Raw genomic sequence first — 22,309 nt, 5'->3', positions numbered from 1 at the left:
TGACCCACAGACACCACAGATATGAATTAAATACTGTGATCCAAAGAGCCTTTGTGCTAACACTTACAAAATATAATTGAGAAAGACTCAAGTTGGTGTATATGAAGATTTAACAGGGACACTACAAGCTGCTTTACTTCAATTTTAAACAACAGTCATACAAAGCAGTGTATTTAAACAACTAACATATGTCTTTTAAAAATATACATAGAAAAATATTTGAAAAGGCCTATGAAATTTTTGACAGTAACTACTTCTAAGGATGGTACAGTGATACATTGGAGAATTTTTCTTTTTACTTTACATGTCACTGTGTTTTTTCCACAACTTGTATCATTTTATAGCATGAAACTTCTTAAAATATTAGTTGTAGAAGTTAGTAGTGAACTCTTGGGCTCAAGGGATCCTTCTGCCTCAGTCAGAGTAAGTTCTATTGTTCTATAGCACTGCAGGATGACTACGTTTAACAATAATATATTATTAATATGTAGTTGTAAATAGCTAGAAGAAGGCTATTCCTTGTGTTCCCAACACAAAGAAATGATAAATGTTTGAGATGATGGATATACTAATTACCCTGATCTATTTACTCTTTAATGTGGTAAGAAGATAGATCTCTTAAGTGTTCTTACTCAATGAAATTAAAAAAGAAAAAAAAAATATTTGCCTAGCAGTTTACAAGTTTTCACAATGTTTATCTCAAGCAAGCTGCTGAAGCACAGAGTGTGGTACTATAATCCACATAAAAAGCTTTAATTTTTCTCCTTTAACCAGTCCACTATTATTACTTGTCAATGATAAATACATTCATTAATGTGAAATTATTTTGAAAAATACTCAGGGAAATTGAATTAAAGTCTTGATCATTTTCTCCTCTCCTTCACACCTGCCCTGGATTTGCAGGAAAATGGACAAAGAAAATATGGTGGCCCTCCACCTGGTTGGGATGCTGCACCCCCTGAAAGGGGCTGTGAAATTTTTATTGGAAAACTTCCCCGAGACCTTTTTGAGGATGAGCTTATACCATTATGTGAAAAAGTGAGTCCAAATTTAACATTTAATTTTTCTTATCGTTCAAGGGAAAAATACTGTTCTCTTCACTTTGCTTTCATTCTCAGCCTTCTTGGTCAGTGGCTGTTTCCATTCCAATTACCATTCCTCAATTATAGACAAAGTTTCTAGTGATTATCTCTTTATAATCACTGCCTTGACCTAGCTCTTGTCCTGTTACTGACAGCTTGAATTGCTACAATTTCTAATGACTGTCAAATCTATATCTTGTTCCCCAATCTTTCCACTGTCATGCCATCTGACTACAAACTATCCATCAACAATAACCCTACAATAACCTGTCTAAAATTAGATATTGCTCCAACTTGAAATTTTAATACAGTTTTATAAAGTACAACATTTTCATTTTAAAAGAATGTGTATGTTTGACAAGGCTCAACATGTATCTATAATCCAGAATGAAATCTCCAGGTCTGAATTTTTTGTCTACCTAAATGCATCAAGAAGATTAAGAACATGGCTTTTCAGTTAAAGGAAGAATACAAAATTAAATTTTATTTTTAATAATTTACCAAGTAGTTTTTAGCAACAAGCACATTCCTGAAAAATTTAGTAAATATAAGAATTTAGCTCTCTGCCTGAATGCCAAAATCAATTTTGTGTGTGTGTGTTAACAGCCTCAGATTCAGAACTGCACCTAATTTTACACATACAATCCCTCTTGGCATGAGGACAAATGATGAGGACTTAATTCTGTAAGAATCTTATATACTGAATCTGAAAATGAGCATCAAGAAACACCTGAAACATAGAGATGTAACATGTTCAAACTATTTCCTAATGAGCCCAGAAGAAATAGGTGTTCATTACTGAATACGTGAGGGTGGGCTAGGGTAAGGCTGAGCTGAGAAGTGACCAACCACAAATGGCATGTGCTTAATGGCACTTCTCTCCAGACATGCGCCATCATATTTATTTGGGCAACCCTTCTTAAAGCAGCCAGTGATAGTAAATTGCTCAGTCTAGATTGCTGCAGGACAGTTGTGGAGTAGAAGGGAGTATTACATGGGCAAGTAGAGTCACTATAGCCAGGGGAATAGAGTGTTCTCCTGCTCTGGAGGCCCTAGCCCTGAGTTAGTAGTATTTAGGCTAGCATTTACATTCAGCCAGCAGACAGAGAAAATGACAAGCCTCCCAGATCATCCCCTGAAACATATCTGTGTTCATTTTGATGTCATGGCTGAGGAAAAAGACTGCTAAGAAGTTAGTTTGGCGAATGAGCATTCTTGGATTTTATTTTAAACATCAATGATAGAATAGGACCAACTGGAAATTAAACTATGGAGATTTCAGAGGACAATTTAGAGGAAATGGACATATACATCAAAAAATTGCACTTTTTTTGAGACAGTGTCTTGCTCTGTTTTCCAGGCTGGAGTGCAGTGGCACAATTATGGCTCATTACAGCCTCTATTGCCTGGGCTCAAGCAATTCTCCCACCTCCGCCTTCCAAGTAGCTGGGACTACAAGCACGTGCCACCACGCTCAGCTAATTTTTGTATTTTTTGTAGACTCAGGGTGTCACCATCTTGCCCAAACTGGTTTCAAATTCCCAGGGTTAAGCAATCCACCTGCCTTGGCCTCCCAAAATGCTGGAATTACAGGTGTAAGAAACTGTACTTATGATAAAATGTGTTTTCATGTCTCTAAGATGTTCCAGATAATTATGTGATAAAAGGTCATTTGCCCTACCAAAAACACATTCTGTTAACTCAGGCTGAAATGTCACTTGTACACATTTTATTTAACTTAACTTCTCTCATGAATCAGATAACTGATCTGAACCCACATGAAAATATGCAAACCATTCCACATGGGATGCAAATGCCAAATAGTACTGGCAGGAGGCAAACTTCAGAAAGCATTGTGTGTGTGTGTGTTTGTGTGTGTATCAGCACATGCACACATACATTCAGAAGTACAAACGTATAAATATAAATGTTCTATTTCTATTACTTGCAGATCGGTAAAATTTATGAAATGAGAATGATGATGGATTTTAATGGCAACAATAGAGGATATGCATTTGTAACATTTTCAAATAAAGTGGAAGCCAAGAATGCAATCAAGCAACTTAATAATTATGAAATTAGGTAAGCTCCGCCTCTTCTAGATTAAAAGTGAAACAAACAATGCACCTGTGTCTGTTTTTCTATCAAGTTTATCTAATATGGTGTATGCCAAAAAAAAAGCCAAGCCAGAAATGAAATAGATTAGTATTTTTCCTTGGCAAAAATAAATTTGATTAAATATTTATTAATATCAATACTATATGAATACCAAACTAAGTTCTATGAGTGTTCAAAGAAACAAAACTTAATAATTTGCCTGTTTCATAAATATATATTGGGCACTGTTCAAAATATTGGGAATATATCAAGGTATAATTTCCTACTTGCAGAGCAAATATATAAGATCACTCAAAATAGTATGAAAAAATCAAACCAGGGATGGGATAAAGTTGTGTGAGAAGGTGGCTACTCTAATTTGGTGTATTTAAGAAAATACTCTCTGGCAGAGTGAAACTTAATCTGAGACTTGAATGAAAAGAGCCAGTCATGACAGTCAGACCTTGGGAAGGTTATTTCAGGAAAGGAGAGAACATCAAGTATAAAGTTCCCGAAGTGAAAACAAGCGTGATATGTTTGAGGGGCAGAAAGCAAGCCCATGTGGCCGGAGAGGGTAAAGAGAGGAGGACTGAAAGCAATACAGTTGGAGAGCTGTGCACTGTGTGAGGAAGTGTAGATGAAGTACAGAAGTCTCTGTGGTGATGAATTTGAATTTTCTTCTAATAGAAGGGAGGAAAGAGTTTTGATTACATTTATAGTTTTTTAAACATTCCTCTGCTGTTTGGTTGAGAATGTACTATAGCAGGTGAGGTTTGAAAGAGGACACCAGTTAGAAGGCTGCTGCAGTTGTCTAGATTTGGACAAGAGATGGTGGTAGTTGGATGAGGGGGTCCATGGTGGACAAGATAAGAAAGGGTGAGATCTGGGATATACACAAATCTGGCTAGAGATTGGATTTAGACTGAGAGAGAATTCAGAATTCAGGGAGGAAACCTAGGATTTTGGTCCGAGTATCTGTGAACTTGTTAGTGCCATTGCAATGGAAAAGACTGGAAGAACAGCAGAGGAAGGACCTTTTAGGGCACTTTACATTTGAGATGCACATTGAACATCCCAGGGGAGGTGTTGAGAAGGTGACTGTCTGCATTGTGGTGGAGTCAGGAGACAGGTCACAGTTGGAATATAAATTTGGGGGTCAGCTAAATATAGATAGCAATTAAGACCATGGGACTAGGGGAGAGTCCCATGTAATTGACTTTGTGCAACCAATTGCCCGTTTTGATAAACTGGAAATAAAACTGACATCATGAAATTGTCTGATTTCTAAAACCTTCACTTGGAGAGAGAACCGTCATAAATTCTTTCTTAAAGGAAGCCCTGAGCCACGTGAGAGGAAGATTAGTGCAGCAGTTAAAGAGCAATAGTTTTGGAGTCAGCCATGCTTCATTTGAGTGCCACCAAGTAACTTCACCATTCTAAGCCTCAATTTCCTCATCTATAAAATGGGGATACCATCTATTTCATAGGTTTATTGCTATAACAACTTTACAGTGCTTAACCCAGTGTTTGGAACACAGTGATAAGCCGACAAATGATAAAAAAAAAAAAATTGTATTTTAGCACAGTTCATCAATTCTAGATGCAGTTTTTTTTTTTACATCTTATCCCCTTCTGAAAGAGAACTGCACCTTAAAATGGGTAGATCTTAAATTTGATGAATGCAGAAAGAGCAGATTTACCACAATTATTTTTCTCTCACTTTCTATAGGACCAAAAGAAGTCATACATTATCCTTACAGTCTGTAAATCAATTAACTACTGGCTTATTTTATTAAAAATTCCTGGGCCGGACACAGTGACTCACGCCTGTAATCCTAGCACTTTGGGAGGCCAAGGCGGGCGGATCACCTGAGGTTGGGAGTTTGAGACCAGCCTGACCAACCTGGAGAAACCTCATCTCTACTAAAAATACAAAATTAGCAGGGCGTGGTGGCGCATGCCTGTAGTCCCAGCTACTCGGGAGGCAGGAGAATTGCTTGAACCTGGCAGGGTGGAGATTGCAGTGAGCCGAGATCACACCACTGCTCTCCAGCCTGGGCAAGAAGAGCGAAACTCTGTCTCAAAAAACAAACAAACAAACAACGCCTTAGCCACAGGAAGATCAGTTGGATTCGGCAACTACTTGTAGTCTAACCATTCAATTCCAAGGCTGGATTCTAGAAAAGAGTCTTGGAGAAAACATAAAGGAGGCTTCCCTCCCACAGGTGCCTCCATGGACCCAAAAGAGCTTTGTGTAGTATGTGGAGGATTGTTTGCAGTAGGAATCAGGAGATCTGGGGTCCAGCCCAGGTTCCTTTGGACGAATGCTTTAACCTCTTTGAGCATCACTTTTATCATTGGCACCTAAACACAGAGATGTTCTGAGCATTCACCATATGAAAGAATATATACTAAAGTGCTTTGAAAGGGCTACAAAACGCTACATTACAGTTTTATGATTTCCAGAATTGGAAGTTTCCCCCATTCCTTGGTCTTTCATGGAACCTTGACATCGTAACAGTAAGGGTTATTCCCAAAACGGTATTTGAGTTGAGATAGATATGGAATTGGCTATGTAGGGAATCAAGTGGATTTACTGTATCTACTTAACACATTGTTACCCAATAGGGCCTGTAAATACTTTTGGACAGCAGATAGGATATGAATAATGAATAAAATCAATCCACTACGGCCACTGATAATTAACAGTATCCTCTGTGAATTTTAGTGTCTTTGTCTGTGAAATAGAGATAAAAATATACCTACCTCATGAGGTGTTTTGAAAAATAAATGAGATAATATACATACATCTCAGTGCTGACACATACTAGGTGCTCTATGAATGTTTGCAGAAGGTTATGGTGGTGATGATGGAGGAGGAGAAGGGAAAAGAAAAGGAAAAATATGACAGAAATTAGGAAGAGAAAGTTACTGGCCAAAATTCCAGTCAAAGCACAGGTTGGATGCCAGAAGCAAGGTAAAGGCAGAGTGTTACCTTAAAAATTAGGGGGTAGAATAAACGGAATAAGACAAGCCAGAATAAACACCCCATAGACAACCTCACCTACTTGCACTCTGCCTTGGGTCAGTCCTGCCAGGGAAAGAACTTTTGTTGCAGAGAAGAAACCTTCAATTTGCTTTTATCCACCATTTCTCACCCACCTATCATTATATCAGCTTCTACTTCATCAGATATTCACTGATCGTCATCTAAATGTCTGGCTTCTAGAGACATTAAAGTTGTGGCCTCAGCTTTTGAAAGGAGATGGCTCTTTGTCTCCAAATAATTCCGGGAAAGGTGCCTGACAAACCACAACCATTTAAAAATAAAATATGGAATTCTAGGCTCCTCCTGCTGGTAACTGATATATGACCAGCCCCCTAACTATCAAAAATAATATAATTTCTAAATACATTAATACTGTGGAAAACAAGGTTTTGGTGTTTTCTTTTTTAAGTAAAGTTTAAAAAAAAACTTGGAAGATTATTTTTTCAACCCTTCCCTCACCTTGAGAACCACACTCCTGGCACAATTCTTACTAGACTGAGATGGACCTGTCACAGATCTGACACACGGTCCTTGGTTCTTCAGCAAAGCGTAGGAGACAGCTAGGACAGTGGCCTAACCCTGGTCAGAAAACCTGCCACACAACCAAGAGCCATTCGCTCCATGGATATCAGACCAATCGCCCACTCACCTGGCTGAGAGCTTTTATTCATGGCAAATGGGTCGTTTCTGCTAAGCATACTTCACCCATTTTTAATAACTTAGTGTTATTACAAAAGTCATATAGCCTAATATGTAACACATGGAAAACATCAAAAAGCATAAAGTAATAAAAGTTAAAACCATTTCTCCGCAACTCCATTGCCCCAAAATAACCACTATGTTGATATTTTATTGTCTTTCCAGATTTTTCTAAACATTTTTAATCAAAATGGCCTTCACATATACTTATTTTATAGCCTTTTAAAGCCTAGCAGCCAATTGTGAACTGTTTTTTTAAACCAATATATATTCTTCTACGTTACTCTTTTTAACGACTGCAGAGCGTGCAATGGTATGAATGCCTGTCTTTTGTTTACCAGTGATTCTCAATCAGGAGCAGTACTGTCCACCCAAGGGGGCATTTAGAAAGGTGGGGAGGCACTTTTGAATGATCAGATTGGTCACTATTGGCATGTAGTACGCAAGAACTAGAGATGGTAAACGTACTACAGTATGCAATGAGAAAATGTCCAATCCAAAGCCAGTAACATCTCAGTTGAGAGACATTAAACCAGTTCTTTACCGTGAGGTATTTTGCTCATTTCCAATTTGGGGGAGATTTTAAAGAGCAGTAATAAATATCCTTAAACATAAATTCTAGGGCTCACTTTTATTTTCCAGGGACATATTCCCAGAAGATACTTTATTTGGTCAAAGGTTGTGCACACTTAAGACTTTTGATACATTTTGCCAAATGTTCTCCAGAATAGTTTAATCCATGTGTACTCTGCCAGTGAAGGTGTACATACCTCAACTTGCTAAGAAGCAACTCTGTACAGTGGAAGAAACAGGAACTGAGATCCCACAGCTAGGTTTCATTCCTTAAAATCTATAACATTTTAAGCAAGTCTTTTTATTTCTTGGAGTTTCAAGTTCATCTGTAAATGGAAATAACTTCTACTCTGCCGATCTCACAGTCTTTTTGTGTGGGGCAGATAAGGTCATATGTGAAAATGTGTTCAAGTATAAAAGACTGTTTTTAACAGAGATCACATCAGAACAGCTTTTCTCTTTGGCTACAAAAGAAAAGGAATGTCAGGTGTTGCAAACTCAAGCGACTGCAGGGCCAGGCAGGTGGCTTCAGTAACCTGGGTTAGGTGTAGGGACCTCAGTGTTGGGGATGCTTCAGGGAGCGGTGAGGATTGACAACTCTTGAATCCACATCTAGCCTAAAGAAAGCAGATGCTATGCAGCCATGAAAAAGGATGAGTTCATGTCCTTTGTAGGGACATGGATGAAACTGGAAACCATCATTCTCAGCAAACTATCGCAAGGACAAAAAACCAAACACTGCATGTTCTCACTCATAGGTGGGAATTGAACAATGAGAACACTTGGACACAGGAAGGGGAACATTACACACCAGGGCCTGTTGTGGGGTGGGGGGAGGGGGGAGGGATAGCATTAGGAGATATACCTAATGCAAATGACGAGTTAATGGGTGCAGCACACCAACATGGCACATGTATACATATGTAACAAACCTGCATGTTGTGCACATGTACCCTAGAACTTAAAGTAAAATAAAATAAAAAAAGAAAGCAGATGCTACTCAGCTTCAGATAACTTTTTTGTTTGAAAATGTAGAGCACATGTTGACACATCTAATAATCTTGCAAAAGAAGCCACAACTCTCCAAAAATGGTTTCAACACTATGAACCCAAACATCCCACATCTTCAGGCAACATTTGGCCCACAGCCATACATTTTCAACCTGAATCCTACAAGGATTCTCATCAATCAAAATCCCTGCTCTTTTTGCAGAAATGGGCGCCTCTTAGGGGTTTGTGCCAGTGTGGACAACTGCCGATTATTTGTTGGGGGCATCCCAAAAACCAAAAAGAGAGAAGAAATCTTATCGGAGATGAAAAAGGTTACTGAAGGTGTTGTCGATGTCATCGTCTACCCAAGCGCTGCAGATAAAACCAAAAACCGAGGCTTTGCCTTCGTGGAGTATGAGAGTCATCGAGCAGCTGCCATGGCGAGGAGGAAACTGCTACCAGGTTAGCAATCCCCTCCTCAAAGATGAGACTTCTCTGCCTATCCTGCCTGCCTCCGCAAAGAAAATAAGCATTTTTAATTTTTTTTGGCTATCTTTCATTACGCTGTATTTTAAATTTTTTATCCTTCTTCACTGTCTCACAGTTGATTCCATTCCCTGAAGTTTTCAGACTCAGTTTTGAAAAATATTCATTCTGTGCATTGAGGCTAATTTACATGCACTAAAGAAACCCAGAACTTTAAGTACAGCAATCCTTTGATGAATAAAGAGTCTTCTTAAAATTAAGTATATCAATCACAGTTACTTTTGTGTATAGATTTTGTTACCAGGCTTATTAGAATTAGGGTATATTCTCCATTACAGTGTAGAAATAAAAACCTCAAGTGATACCTTATTCCAATGACAACTAGGTGACATACTTTCATTATGACTCCCTGTTGTCTAATAATTTCTGTCTAATTTGAGAGAAGAGAGATAAAAGCTCTCCTTAGAAAGCCACCTTTATTTGTTAGTTATTACAACCACAGGATAGATCCCATTTGGTGAATAACTATCAAATTCTCTATCCACCCCAACACTGCCTCGGTCAGATCAACTTAGGAAAATTTTTTACAGTTCTTGGCTCATTCTAAAACATTTTCTACAACTTACACAGGTTTTTAAATGAATACTAAAATAAGAGGATTTCAAAAATGACAGACTGGACACACTGGAATGAACTTTTCTCATGAAAATTATGGGAGAGCCACCAGAATTCAAAACAAAACAACCACAACAAAGATGTCTACATTTATGTTGCCTTTGTAAACACTCTTCAAAACAAACCAATACTAGATCAGCCCCCTAGATATCTTCAAAACTAGGAGACAGTTTCTGGCTTGGGGAAGATCTTTCAATAATATCTTCATGAAGGCAACTTAAAGGGAAAAAAAATGAGACAGTCCCAAAGGTTGCTGAATCTTTTAGAGAAGTAGATATTTTTAATGTTGAATCTTTCATTCACAACTTCTTCCCTCTTCACTGGCCAGCATTTGGTCAAGTCATCTAAATCACAGGTCCATAGATAGACTCACTAAGACTCCTCATGGGGGCATACCTTTTGGTGACCTGGACGTAATATTTTGCTATCTGCTTCAATTCTTCTTTCTTCTTCAACATCGACAACTGTACCATTGAAAAGTCTTTTGTATCCATCCTGTTCTTAGGCCACCACTGAAGTCTAAACACACATATTCTAAACCTTATGTAATTTTTTTCAAGATCTAATTATTCTCCCAGCTCTGCTTTCTCTTCCATGTGCCCCACCCTCCGACTTCTCCATCCTGAACATTACCACCAGATTAATGTTTCCAAAATATCCTATTATCCTTTCAACACCTTCTTGCAAATAGTAGGAATTCAATCTCTATCTATAGGCTGAATGATGTCTGTCACTAACTGGCCAGTTCAAAAATATTCATAACTCCTTGCTGTGTGTAAGAACTAAATATGTGATTTCATTATTCAATACCTTTTATTCATTTCCTGGTCTTTTATGACCATATTTGCTACCTTCTATTTCCCAATAAAAACTCTTCCTTCTATCAGGACAGACACCTCAATGACCTAGACACTTCCATGCTTATGTCTGTCTCGTTTATTCCTAATGCTATATCCTCTACTAGGAATACCTGCCCCTCCGTCACTTGTGACATTCACCCCAGCCCAGCCAGCACCTTCTTGAGAAACCTACCTCCAGTATTCCAGCCCGAATTAGTCACTTTCCTCCCTCAATGCAGGAAGCCATTCATTATCTGTAAAAACAGATATGTGAAATAATTTGGGGTGTGGGGGAGTAGGACAGTGAAAGAAGGTCCAAAACAAGTGAAAGACAGTTTCCAGGGTCAAGACAATCCAGTAATCCCAGAGAAGCTCCACCTCCTGAAAGCTTCCCTATCTCTTCAGGGAGAATGGCACATTGGCCCACCGAAGGAACTCCTTTTTCTAAGTCAAGCAGACTAGCTAGCCAGGTCCTATCAGATAAGCTTCAGAAATTTTCAAGCACTTCATTAAGCTTCCACCCACAGTCCTGACTTTTCCTTGTGGATTCTCTGTCCAGGATATGCCATAGGGAGGCTGCCTCCCCTCCCCGTCCACAACTCATATTCACTATGATCCAATGCAACCCCCTTACCTATGGCCCTTTGAGCCAGTCTCAGGTGGATTTCACTCAGCTGGATTTTAGTCAGCAACTAACTCATCAGCAAACTAACAAGATGAGGCACAGTGGTGAGTAAGCCAGCCAGAGCAAACTTCTTCACCTCTAATGAGATCTCAGAACAAAACCTATCACCCATTTGGATCACTCTACCTGTTACCCCATTGCAGACTCACCCACAACAAAGGAATTCTTTAATTGCCAACCCTTTGAGAACCTAGTTTAAAAGAACAAGGAGACTGTTGAGAAAAATGATAAGTGAAGACAACAAGAAACTTTTCTTTCTTAATTGACCCAGACTTGGAGACAGAGAGACAATAGTTGTCTAAAGGGATGTAACTGCTCCTCAGTCACTTACCTCCTCTCTAAACAGTGGCAGTTCCCCCTTGAGAAATCTCACCTTTATTGAGCTCTTTACAGAACAAAGTTGCTGCATCCCACTCAGAAACTAGAAAGGTGTTCTAAGAATGCTCTGAAGAAAAGTCCTGGCAGTGATTCTCAATGTCAGGCTGCATCAGCATCACCTGGAGGGCTTGTTATAGCACAGATTGCTAGATCCCACCGCCAGAGTTCTTGATTCAGTAGGTCTGGTGTCAGGCCAGGTAATTCGCATTTACAACAAGCTCCCAGGATGCTACTACTCCCAGGACTGCACATTTGAAAACCCATGATTTGAATCAATGATTTTCCATCCTAGGCTGCACATTGGAATTACCTGATGTTTTCAAACAATGTGAGTACCCATGTCAGCCTCTAATCAATTGAATCTGCATCACTGGAATATAAAGTTAGGGAACTGGTGTTTTAAGTTTTCCAGATGATTCTATTCTTCAGTCAAATTTTGTGATTCACAGCTAAATCTATCAGCTAATGATACTGGGTAATCATCTTCATGGCATGTAAATAGGAATACCTGGGAACTGCTCAGTCAGTAAATATTTATTAAGCATCTAGAACACATATTGCTCCCTTCTGAATGACATGAGAGATTCTAAAAATAAAAAAAAAAACATAGTACCTAACCATTGCACTCAAAGAGTGCATATTCTGAGAAAACTATACATACACAAAAACAGGAAAAATTATTAAGAGGAGAGTGTATTGTTAAATCATAATTTAAAAGTTATTAAGTCTTCTCTGCATCATCTTTTCCTGACCTCACAACAATAGTAGGTTGTAGATAAGGAAACTGATGTTAGAAAGGATATGTTTTCTAGCCAGGATGATTGTTCTGACATTTGAACTTGTCTTACTTCTAGCTCATGCTCTCAAATCACTCTGTAACACTCACTTTCACCAGAGGCCTTCACAAGGATGTTGGTGGAAATCACTGCTTCCCATATTTACTCTCATTTCTGTTCCCTTAGCCTTATGCAGCTCTTCGTGGTCCTAGGCTGAGAAGACTAAAGCTAGAGCAGTAGTACTCAACTGTGGCTGCATTTTAGAATTAACTAAGCTACTTTTAAAACTCCTGAGATCCAGCCCACTTATATCAGAATTGGGAAGGGTAGGTAGTCCAGAGGTCAGTAACGAGCTGGTAAATCTTTAACAGCCAGCTCCCAGAGGAAAAAACAAAAGCCCTGATTTGTAGCATTTGCCAGTTTCCATGGTATTAACACTCCCACTGTGGCTGATTTCAGGCTACCAATGCGACTTTAACTGGCTCACAAAATTCTGATACTTTCTTTATCTATTTATCTGTCAATGAACATTTAGGTTGATTCCATACCATGGTAATTGTGAATAATGCTTCAATAAACATGGGAATGCAGGAATCTCTTTAACATAATGATTTCATTTGGGGTGAATACATACCCAGTATGGTGATTGCGGGATCATATGGTAGCTCTATTTTTATTTTTTTGAGGAACCTGCATACTGTTTTCCATAATGGCTCTACCAACTTACATTCCCATCAACAGTATGCAAGTATTCTCATTTCTCCAAATCCTTGCCAACATCATCTTTGATCTTTTTGATAATGGCCATTCTACCAGGTGTGAGGTGATAACTCATTTTAGTTTTGATTTATATTTGCCTGATGATTAGAGATGTTAAGCATTTTTTCATATACCTGTTGGCGATTTATATTTCTTCTTTTGAGATATGTCTATTCAAATCCATTGCCCTGTTTTTGTTTTTTATTTTTGAGACGGAGTTTCACTCTTATTGCCCAGGCTAGAGTGCAATGGCATGATCTTGGCTCACTGCAACCTCTGCCTCCCGGGTTCAAGTGATTCTCCTGCCTCAGCCTCCTGAGTAGCTGGGATTACAGGCATGTGCCACCACGCCTGGCTAACTTTGTATTTTTAGTAGAGATGGGGTTTCTCCATGTTGGTCAGGCTGGTCTCGAACTACTGACCTCAGATGATCTGCCAGCCTTGGCCTCCCAAAGTGCTGGGATTACAGGTGTGAGCCACCACGCCCGGCCTTTTGCCCATTTTTAATTGGGTTATCTGTTTTCCTACTATTGATTGTTTGAGTTCTCTATATATTTGGGATATTAACTCCTTATCAAATGTATGCTTTGTAAATATTTTTTTCCCATTCCTTAGGTTATCTCTTCACTCCATTGATTGTTTCCTTTGCTGTGCGGAAAGTTTAGTTTGATGCAATCCCATTCATCTATTTTTGCTTTTGTTGTCTGTGCTTTGGGGGTTATAGCCAAAAAATAACTGCCCAGACCAATGTCAAGAAACTTTCCCTTATGTTTCTTTCTAGTAGTTTTACTGTTTCCAGTCTTACATTTAAGTCTTTATTCCATTTTAACTTGGCTTATGTGTATATTGTAAGATAAGGGTCCCATCTCATTCTTTTGCATATGGATATCCAATTTTCCTTACACCATTTGTTGAAGAGGCTGTTCCTTCTCCATTGTGTGTTCTTGGCACCTTTGTCAAAGATCAATTGGCCATAAATGTGTGGATTTACTTCTGGACTCTATTTTGTTTCATTGGCCTAAATGTCTGTTTTTATGCCAGTATCATACTATTTTGATTACTATAGCTTTGCAGTATATTTTGAGATCAAGTAGTGTGATGACCCCAGCTTTGTTCTTTTGGTTCAGATTTCTTTGGCTAGGGTCTTTTGTGGCCCCATACAAATTTTAGAATTGTATTTTCTATTTCTGTGAAAAACATCACTGGAATTTCGATAGAGACTGCATTGAATCTGTAGATTGCTCTGAGTAGCGTGGACTTTATAACAATAATAATGCCTCCAATCCATGAACATAGGATATTTTTCCATTTATTTGTTTCTTCTTTAATTTTTTATCAATATTTTACAGTTTTAAGTATACAGATCTTTCATTTTGTTGGTTAAATTTATTTCTAAGTATTTTTGGGGGGATGATACTATAAATGAGATTGTTTTCTTGATTTCTGTTTCAGTTTTCTTGATTTCTTGTTGTTAGTGTATAGAAAGGCTACTTATTTATGTATGTTAGTTTTGTATTTTACAGCTATACTGAGCTTGTTTATTAGTTACAATGGAATATTAGTCAATCTTTACAAAGAAGGAAATTCTGTCATTTGCAACAACATGGATGAAACTGGAGGACATTATATTAAGTGAAATAAGCCAGACACAGAAAGACAAATATTGCATAATCTCACTTATATGTGGAATCTAAAAAGTTGAATTCATATAAGCAGAGTGTAGAATGGTGGTTACCAGGGCTGGGGGCAGAGGTATGGAGAGATATTGGTCAAACGATACAAAGTTTCCATTAAAATGAATAATTTCTGCAAATCTATTGTATAATATGACTATAGTTAATGTATTTGTATACTTGAAAATTGGTAAGAGAGTAGATCTTAAATGTTATCACCACCAAAAAAAAGTATTGAGGTGATGCATATGTTAATTAGCTTCATTTAATCATTTTACATGTATACATGTATCAAAACATCATGTTGTATACCACAAATAGATGCAATTTTGATTGATCAATTATACCTTTAAAAAGATGGGAAGGAAAAATGCAAAAATTTAATCATCTATTTTTGCAAGTAGATAAGAACTGGCTCTAGTACATCACTGGGTGGAACCCAGGTTTCATTATTTTTTAAACCTCACCCAATATGGAGCCAAGGCTGAGAACCACTGAGCTACCAAAGCCAGAATTATGTGGGAGCCTTGGGGATCTTGGAATAATACAAACAAAAAAAGTCTATGTAAAGCATACAAGGGGAAAGGAAGAGAGTAATGAAGAAAACTATCCCCTGAAATGCAACACAGAACAAGATGGTCACAGCTAGGGTAACAAGAGCCAGCTTCTCCAGGGTCAGTTATCTCTTAAGACATGCCTATTCTTCATTTGGGTTTTAGAATGCCAGGGCCACGGATGCTTTTACTGACTGCTTTTCAAGGAATATAAAGATGCATTCTTATTGAAAATAATTGCTTCCTATGTGTAGTAATTAAACAAATAAACCCTTACCAATACTGAGAGTTCCTGATTTTGTTCTCTCAAGCTTTGTATTGCTTACGGGATAAAGTTTATTCCCAAATAACGAATAAAAAACAAACTAGATTTCCAATCAAATTTAGAACTTGGGTTGACTCTCACTCTCCTCTCATCACTTCAACAAGATCTGCACTGCGTAGGGGTATAGGAGCAGAGTCACCAAAAAACAAAACAAAACAAAACAACAACAAAAAAGGGGGAGGTGGTTAAGTAGAACAGGCCTGGGAAAGTTATCCTCTCTAAAGCTCATTTCCCATTCTGTAAAATTGGGAGTAATTCACCTCCCCACAGGGTTACTGTGAGAAGTAACTGAGATGGCACATGGGAAACAGATGGTACAGTACAAGACACTCAATAAAATGTGTTCATAGTAATACAAAAATATATGTAGCCATGGAGAACAACTACCCTTTACAGAAGAATTAAAATTCTCATTATAGACTCTTCCATTGCTTGTCATCTGTCTTCTTAATTAGGACTTTTTGAAAATGTCTCCAGATTCCCAATTTATTCATGTTGTGAAAGAGGATTAAGAGGGAACACAGCTGATCTAAGCCTTGACCAAGTGTGAGGGACAGAGAACAAATTAAGGATGCCTGAGTCCCACCCACCTTTGCCCAAACACCATTTTTTGAACATCTCAATTGTGGTACCTAGCCTAATTAACAACACAGATTCCAGCAGCAGTAAATGCTCTTCCTAGTAACCTTCTTAATGTTCTGTGGAGTCAGATTCTATATCTGGGCCCTAAATCCATAATTTTCCTATCTCCCTTGTGCTATCTTACCTTAAGTGACTACCTTCACCCAATGAGTGTTGTTCTAAGAGCCAAATGTGGCCTCTGCTGCCTCATTTCTGTTCAACCTCAAACCACGTCCTGGTTCCCTTTATAATCGATAGTTATAACAAGCCACCGGTCACACAGAACTCCCTTCTAATCAGCTACTCCACTTGGAATGTCTCTTAAGATCAACACTCACCAGTTTTAATGGTCTTCTTGCTCATTCAAGACCTCAAGGGTCAGGTCAATTTAAAAGACCATTGGTATAAATTGAGATGATGTTGTCCTGATTCCTACATAATTAATCATAATGGTGATCATTTTCAACAGGAAGAATTCAGTTATGGGGACATGGTATTGCAGTAGACTGGGCAGAGCCAGAAGTAGAAGTTGATGAAGATACAATGTCTTCAGTGAAAATCCTATATGTAAGAAATCTTATGCTGTCTACCTCTGAAGAGATGATTGAAAAGGAATTCAACAATATCAAACCAGGTAGGACATATATACAAGATTAGTTTTTCAAAACATTCTTTGTCCTGGTTTAGTCTTGGGAGGGTGTATGTGTCGAGGAATTTGTCCATTTCTTCTAGATTTCTAGTTTATTTGCATAGAGGTGTTTATAGTATTCTCTGACGGTAGTTTGTATTTCTGTGGGATCGGTGGCGATATCCCCTTTATCATTTTTTATTGTGCTTATTTGATTCTTCTCTCTTTTCTTCTTTATTAGTCTTGCTAGTGGTCTATCAATTTTGTTGATCTTTTAAAAAAAACAGCTCCTGGATTCACTGATTTTTTTGAAGGATTTTTGTGCCTCTATCTCATTCAGTTCTGCTCTGATCTTAGTTATTTCTTGCCTTCTGCTAGCTTTTGAATGTGTTTGCTCTTGCTTCTCTAGTTCTTTTAATTGTGATGTTAGGGTGTCAATTTTAGATCTTTCCTGCTTTCTCTTGTGGGCATTTAGTGCTATAAATTTCCCTCTACACATTGCTTTAAATGTGTTCCAGAGATTCTGGTATGTTATGTATGTCTTTGTTCTCATCGGTTTCAAAGAACATCTTTATTTCCACCTTCATTTCGTTGTGTACTCAGTAGTCATTCAGGAGCAGGCTGTTCAGTTTCCTTGTAGTTGAGTGGTTTGGGGTGAGTTTCTTAATCCTGAGTTCTAGTTTGATTGCACTGTGGTCTGAGAGACAGTTTGTTATAATTTCTGTTCTTTTACATTTGCTGAGGAGTGCTTTACTTCCAACTATGTGGTCAATTTTGGAATAAGTGTGATGTGGAGCTGAGAAGAATGTATATTCTGTTGATTTGGGGTGGAGAATTCTGTAGATGTCTATTAGGTCCGCTTGGTGCAGAGCTGAGTTCAATTCCTGAATATCCTTGTTAACTTTCTGTCTCGTTGATCTGTCTAATGTTGACAGTGGGGTGTTAAAGTCTCCCATTATTATTGTGTGGGAGTCTAAGTCTCTTTGTAGGTCTCTAAGGACTTGCTTTATGACTCTGGGTACTCCTGTATTGGGTGCATATATATTTAGGATAGTTAGCTCGTCTTGTTGAATTGATTCCTTTACCATTATGTAATGGCCTTCTTTGTCTCTTTTGATCTTTGTTGGTTTAAAGTCTCTTTTATCAGAGACTAGGATTGCAACCCCTGCCTTTTTTTGTTTTCCATTTGCTTGGTAGATCTTCCTCCATCCATTTACTTTGAGCCTATGTGTGTCTCTGCATGTGAGATGGGTTTCCTGAATACAGCGCACTGATGAGTCTTGACTCTTTATCCAATTTGCCAGTCTGTGTCTTTTAATTGGAGCATTTAGCCCACTTACCTTTTAAGGTTAATATTGTTATGTGTAAATTTGATCCTGTCATTATGATGTTAGCTGGTTATTTTGCTCATTAGTTGATGCAGTTTCTTCCTAGCCTGGATGGTCTTTACAATTTGGCATGTTTTTGCAGTCGCTGGTACTGGTTATTCCTTTCCATGTTTAGCGCTTCCTTCAGGAGTTCTTGTAGGGCAGGCCTGGTAGTGACAAAATCTCTCAGAATTTGCTTGTCTGTAAAGTATTTTATTTCTCCTTTGCTTATGAAGCTTAGTTTGGCTGGATATGAAATTCTGGGTTGAAAATTATTTTCTTTAAGAATGTTGAATATTGGCCCCCACTCTCTCCTGGCTTGTCGAGTTTCTGCCGAGAGATCAAAACATTCTTTAAAAGCACCTATGCTTGAGATGACTTCCCATAACTTTAAATAGAAATGCTTTTATTTAGTTCATCTCATAATTCCATGCAGACCTCTCAAACTATGTTCCTAACTTTGGATTAGAAAATCAAGCCATGTGGTCCTACAACATTTATCAATATTATAATTGCATACTTATCTATGTGATTATTTAATGAATATCTATTTTCTTCACTAAACTATAAATTTCATGAGTTTTTCCCCTCTTATTGTTTCCTCCATCTTCAGACATTTAATCTCTGGGCCTGGGGTACAATGATTGCTCAATAAATATTTACTGTAATGAAGAATGCATGCCATAACCATAGGTCTGATGCAGGGTTTCTCAGCCTCACCACTATTGATATTTTGGAACAGATCATTCTTGGCTGTGGGGGTCTGTCCAGTGGATTGTAGGATGTTTAGCAGCATCCCAGGCCTGTCTCTGTTAGATACCAGTAGCAACCTCCAAGATGTGACAACGAAAAATGCCTTCAGACATTGCAAAATATACTCTACGGGTGGGCAAAATTGCCCCCAGTTGAGAACCACTGGCCTAATGGAATACACTTGTGACATAAGTAAAAAGGTGACAATCCTAGGAAACTGATTTGAGTGAAGAGGAAGGGAAAGGAATAGAGGGAAGGTGGAAGGGGATAGTTAGTTGCTACTCATCTTGTCAATACTTTTCAGTATCAATTCTAAGCCATCAGATTGACTCCCCATCTCTTTCTTCTCCATATAGGAGCTACAACACTGAGAGAGGTAGAGCATTTCAGGAAACAATATCCAAATTACCATTTCCCAAAAACAGTTCAGAACATTAATTCTACAATCTTTTGGTGGATGTTGCTGATAAAAGGGCTCCATGGTCAAATAAGCTTGTAAACACCAGATTCTGCAAAATTAAATGAATTTCTTCATTATGGAACTTATCAAAGTCTTTTGCCTTCTAACATGCTTTGAAATTCTCCAAGAAGCGATGCAGAAATCTTCATTTTTCAAGTTTCTGAAACATGACTGCTCTTTTTTGCCATATCATTTTGTGGGATTACTGTGTCTTTAAACACACTCTGGGCAGTAGTGGCTTAGGGTTATCATAGTAGTAATATCCTTTCATAACTGAGAATTTCCCAGTCTCCTGGCAAATTATCTAGGTTGTTAATAAGGGTGGGCCATGGTGCTGTCATGTTAAAGCTGCCTAAGAATATTCACTTGCACATACTCACATCGTCTGTTTCCAACTCTGGGTGCTACTTCAGATAGAACAGAATGATAAGCTGATGATTTGCTCTGAAGGACATTCAGGAAGGATGTCACTGCTCCATTTTGAAAGATTCACCAAAGATCTTTCTCCAGCCTCAGGGACTCTGCCTTCCCTGAAATATTAGTGTGAGGGTGTGGCTCCACACCAACAGCTGTGAATCCATGACTAAGCTAGAATCTGCAAATGATGGACCACCTTACTGTGTGCCAAGCATTGCAGTGGGCACTTTCACAGCATGTGTCATTTATTCATCACAACCCTATAATACAGGTTGCTTTATTCATTCCATTACTTTCTAGATAAGAAAAACAGGACCCAGAGTAGTTAAGTAGTTTGCCCAGGTTCACACAGCTAGCAGGTCGCAGATCCTGGATTTGAACTCAGGTCTGGTAAAGGGCATGTTCTTAAAAACTTTAATACTCTCATGCCGCCTCCTTATTCCATTCACTCACTCATTCATTCAACTGTCTTTCCTTCAGTAGCTCCTACATGCCAGGCACTGTGGAAGGAACAAACAAGTATGATGTGTGCATGGAAAAAGTTTAAGAAATTCCAGAAAAATACAGCTTTGACAGACTACTCTTGGAGTGCAGAGAAGACTTGTGTTTTGAAGCGACATCTAAGCTGAGATCTGAATGTTGATGCAGTTGTAGGCATAGGAACATTATGTGTGTATAAATATTGCCCACTATTCTCCCCTCATTCCATGTTGACTTTCTACCTTCCCAGAGTGAATAATACTTCTTATTTTTATCTAATTAAAACAGCACCTTTTTTTGCCAAGGGCTAGAATGAGAAACTACTAAAAGGCTGCTTCCTTTCCTAGTCCCTGATTATCAGCTTTCCCAGTCTGCGTATTGGCATATATTAAAGAGACATGTGTGCCCGGATCCTACTAATTATCATGAAAATAATGAACATCACATATCTCTCTCTTGCTCACTCTCTCACTTTCTCTTTCTTCTTGGGACTAAAGTGTGTCCAGCGATTTCAGGGCACAGTCTGCAGCTGGTGGCACAACTCTCAGGGCTATATAATGATGTATGGCTTGTTCTTCGTGGCCCTCTGCAAAAAAAAATATGAATTTCAGAACGTGAACAACTAGCAGACATCTGCTGCATTAAGAGGGAAAAGTCAGAGCTAACTAGTTTATCTTGGAAAGTATGTACTGTGCCAAGGCTATACTTATCTAGAAAAATTTCTGGAAACAAACAGAAAAATGACTCTAAAAATTCCATTTAAAGTTTAGGTCCCTCAGAGGAACCTACATATTACCTCAAAATATTTGACCACGTATCAGTTTAACCATGATGAACTTGAATAATATTATATTGCCACTGAGAGACACAAAAGATAATTAGAACAAAAATTGAGACCTGAAGATGGTTTGTTCTTCCCCACTGTAGCCTAAGGGTATCTGCTGAATTTCCAATTATAGTCATTCTACAAAATCTGATCTTCCTACAAGAGTTTAGCAGTATTAGAATCACCTGAAGGGCATGTTAAATCACTGATTGCTTGGCCCATCATGGGTGGGTTCAAGCATTTCCATTTCTATTAAGTTTCCAGGCAAAGTGGATTCTGCTGGTCAGGGCACCACACTTCGGGAACCATGACCCTCTGATAACCTTCCCTTTGGCATGCAGGTGTGTTTCTCCTCAGGTTTATGTGTTGCTGACAAGTTGATAAGAAACACAGCAATAATTTTCCAATTCCTTGCATCATGATTTCAGAGGATCTTTTTCTTCTTTGCTAATGGATGATTGAGTAATAATGATCACTCATATTCTATGGACTCACCCTCTGCCAAATGAGGATCAATTATTAAACAAACTCCTATGCACTAAAGAAGAAACATAATAAAATAAGCCATGTGGTGAATACTATTGTAGAGAAAACCAACTTTTATGACACAGACTCTAACTTTTTAACTTGTCTGTTTTATGAGGCTAAGTTTTTAAATATCAAATTTTCCAAAACCAGATGCATCTGGAAGTTATCGTCCAACAGTGTAAGATAATTTCAGATATCTGCAAACAGAATTTCAGAAAATCTAAATTCATTATCATCTCAAATGCCACTAACTGGTGTAAATGACAGAAGTTGGGATGTGAATTAACTGATAATATTCCCTTATTCCATGTGTATTTATAGAGTAGCTCCTGTGTCCAAGGCAGTAGGCAGGAACCAGGTGAAGATGATACCAAGAAGTCTCTGAAGAGGGTCCTGTTCTCAGGGAGATAACAGACCAGTGAGCCTAGGTGGAGAATGACATTGAAATATGAACCAAGCAAAGACTGGAAAGGTGAAGGTCATCATTGGCCAACGTCTTCCTTCTCAGTTACTAAAACAAGTCATGGGATTAAGTCATGATCATCACCCCATGTGACACTGAAAGGAATGAAGAGACTATATTGGATAT

General features: G+C 38.3%; 1 protein-coding gene across 14 annotated transcripts in view; it reads left to right on the top strand.

The window, feature by feature from the left end:
• The window catches only part of A1CF (APOBEC1 complementation factor), an 86,219-nt gene that overhangs the window by 40,602 nt on the left and 23,308 nt on the right, over window positions 1-22,309 (top strand). For 13 of the 14 annotated variants that reach the window (XM_011539729.4, NM_001370130.1, NM_001370131.1 and 10 more), the window contains 4 exons: window positions 904-1,038; window positions 3,034-3,164; window positions 8,714-8,952; window positions 16,731-16,895. In XM_011539729.4, coding sequence (XP_011538031.1) covers window positions 904-1,038; window positions 3,034-3,164; window positions 8,714-8,952; window positions 16,731-16,895 — 670 coding nt within the window. The remainder of the gene's footprint in view (window positions 1-903; window positions 1,039-3,033; window positions 3,165-8,713; window positions 8,953-16,730; window positions 16,896-22,309) is intronic. The other variant, XM_047425131.1, reaches the window with a different exon arrangement.

Source organism: Homo sapiens, chromosome 10 (genome assembly GCF_000001405.40).
Source record: "Homo sapiens chromosome 10, GRCh38.p14 Primary Assembly".
Classification (NCBI taxonomy): domain Eukaryota; kingdom Metazoa; phylum Chordata; class Mammalia; order Primates; family Hominidae; genus Homo; species Homo sapiens.
The sequence above is the reverse complement of the archived record's forward strand: the minus strand, read 5'-3'. Positions and strand labels throughout refer to the sequence as shown.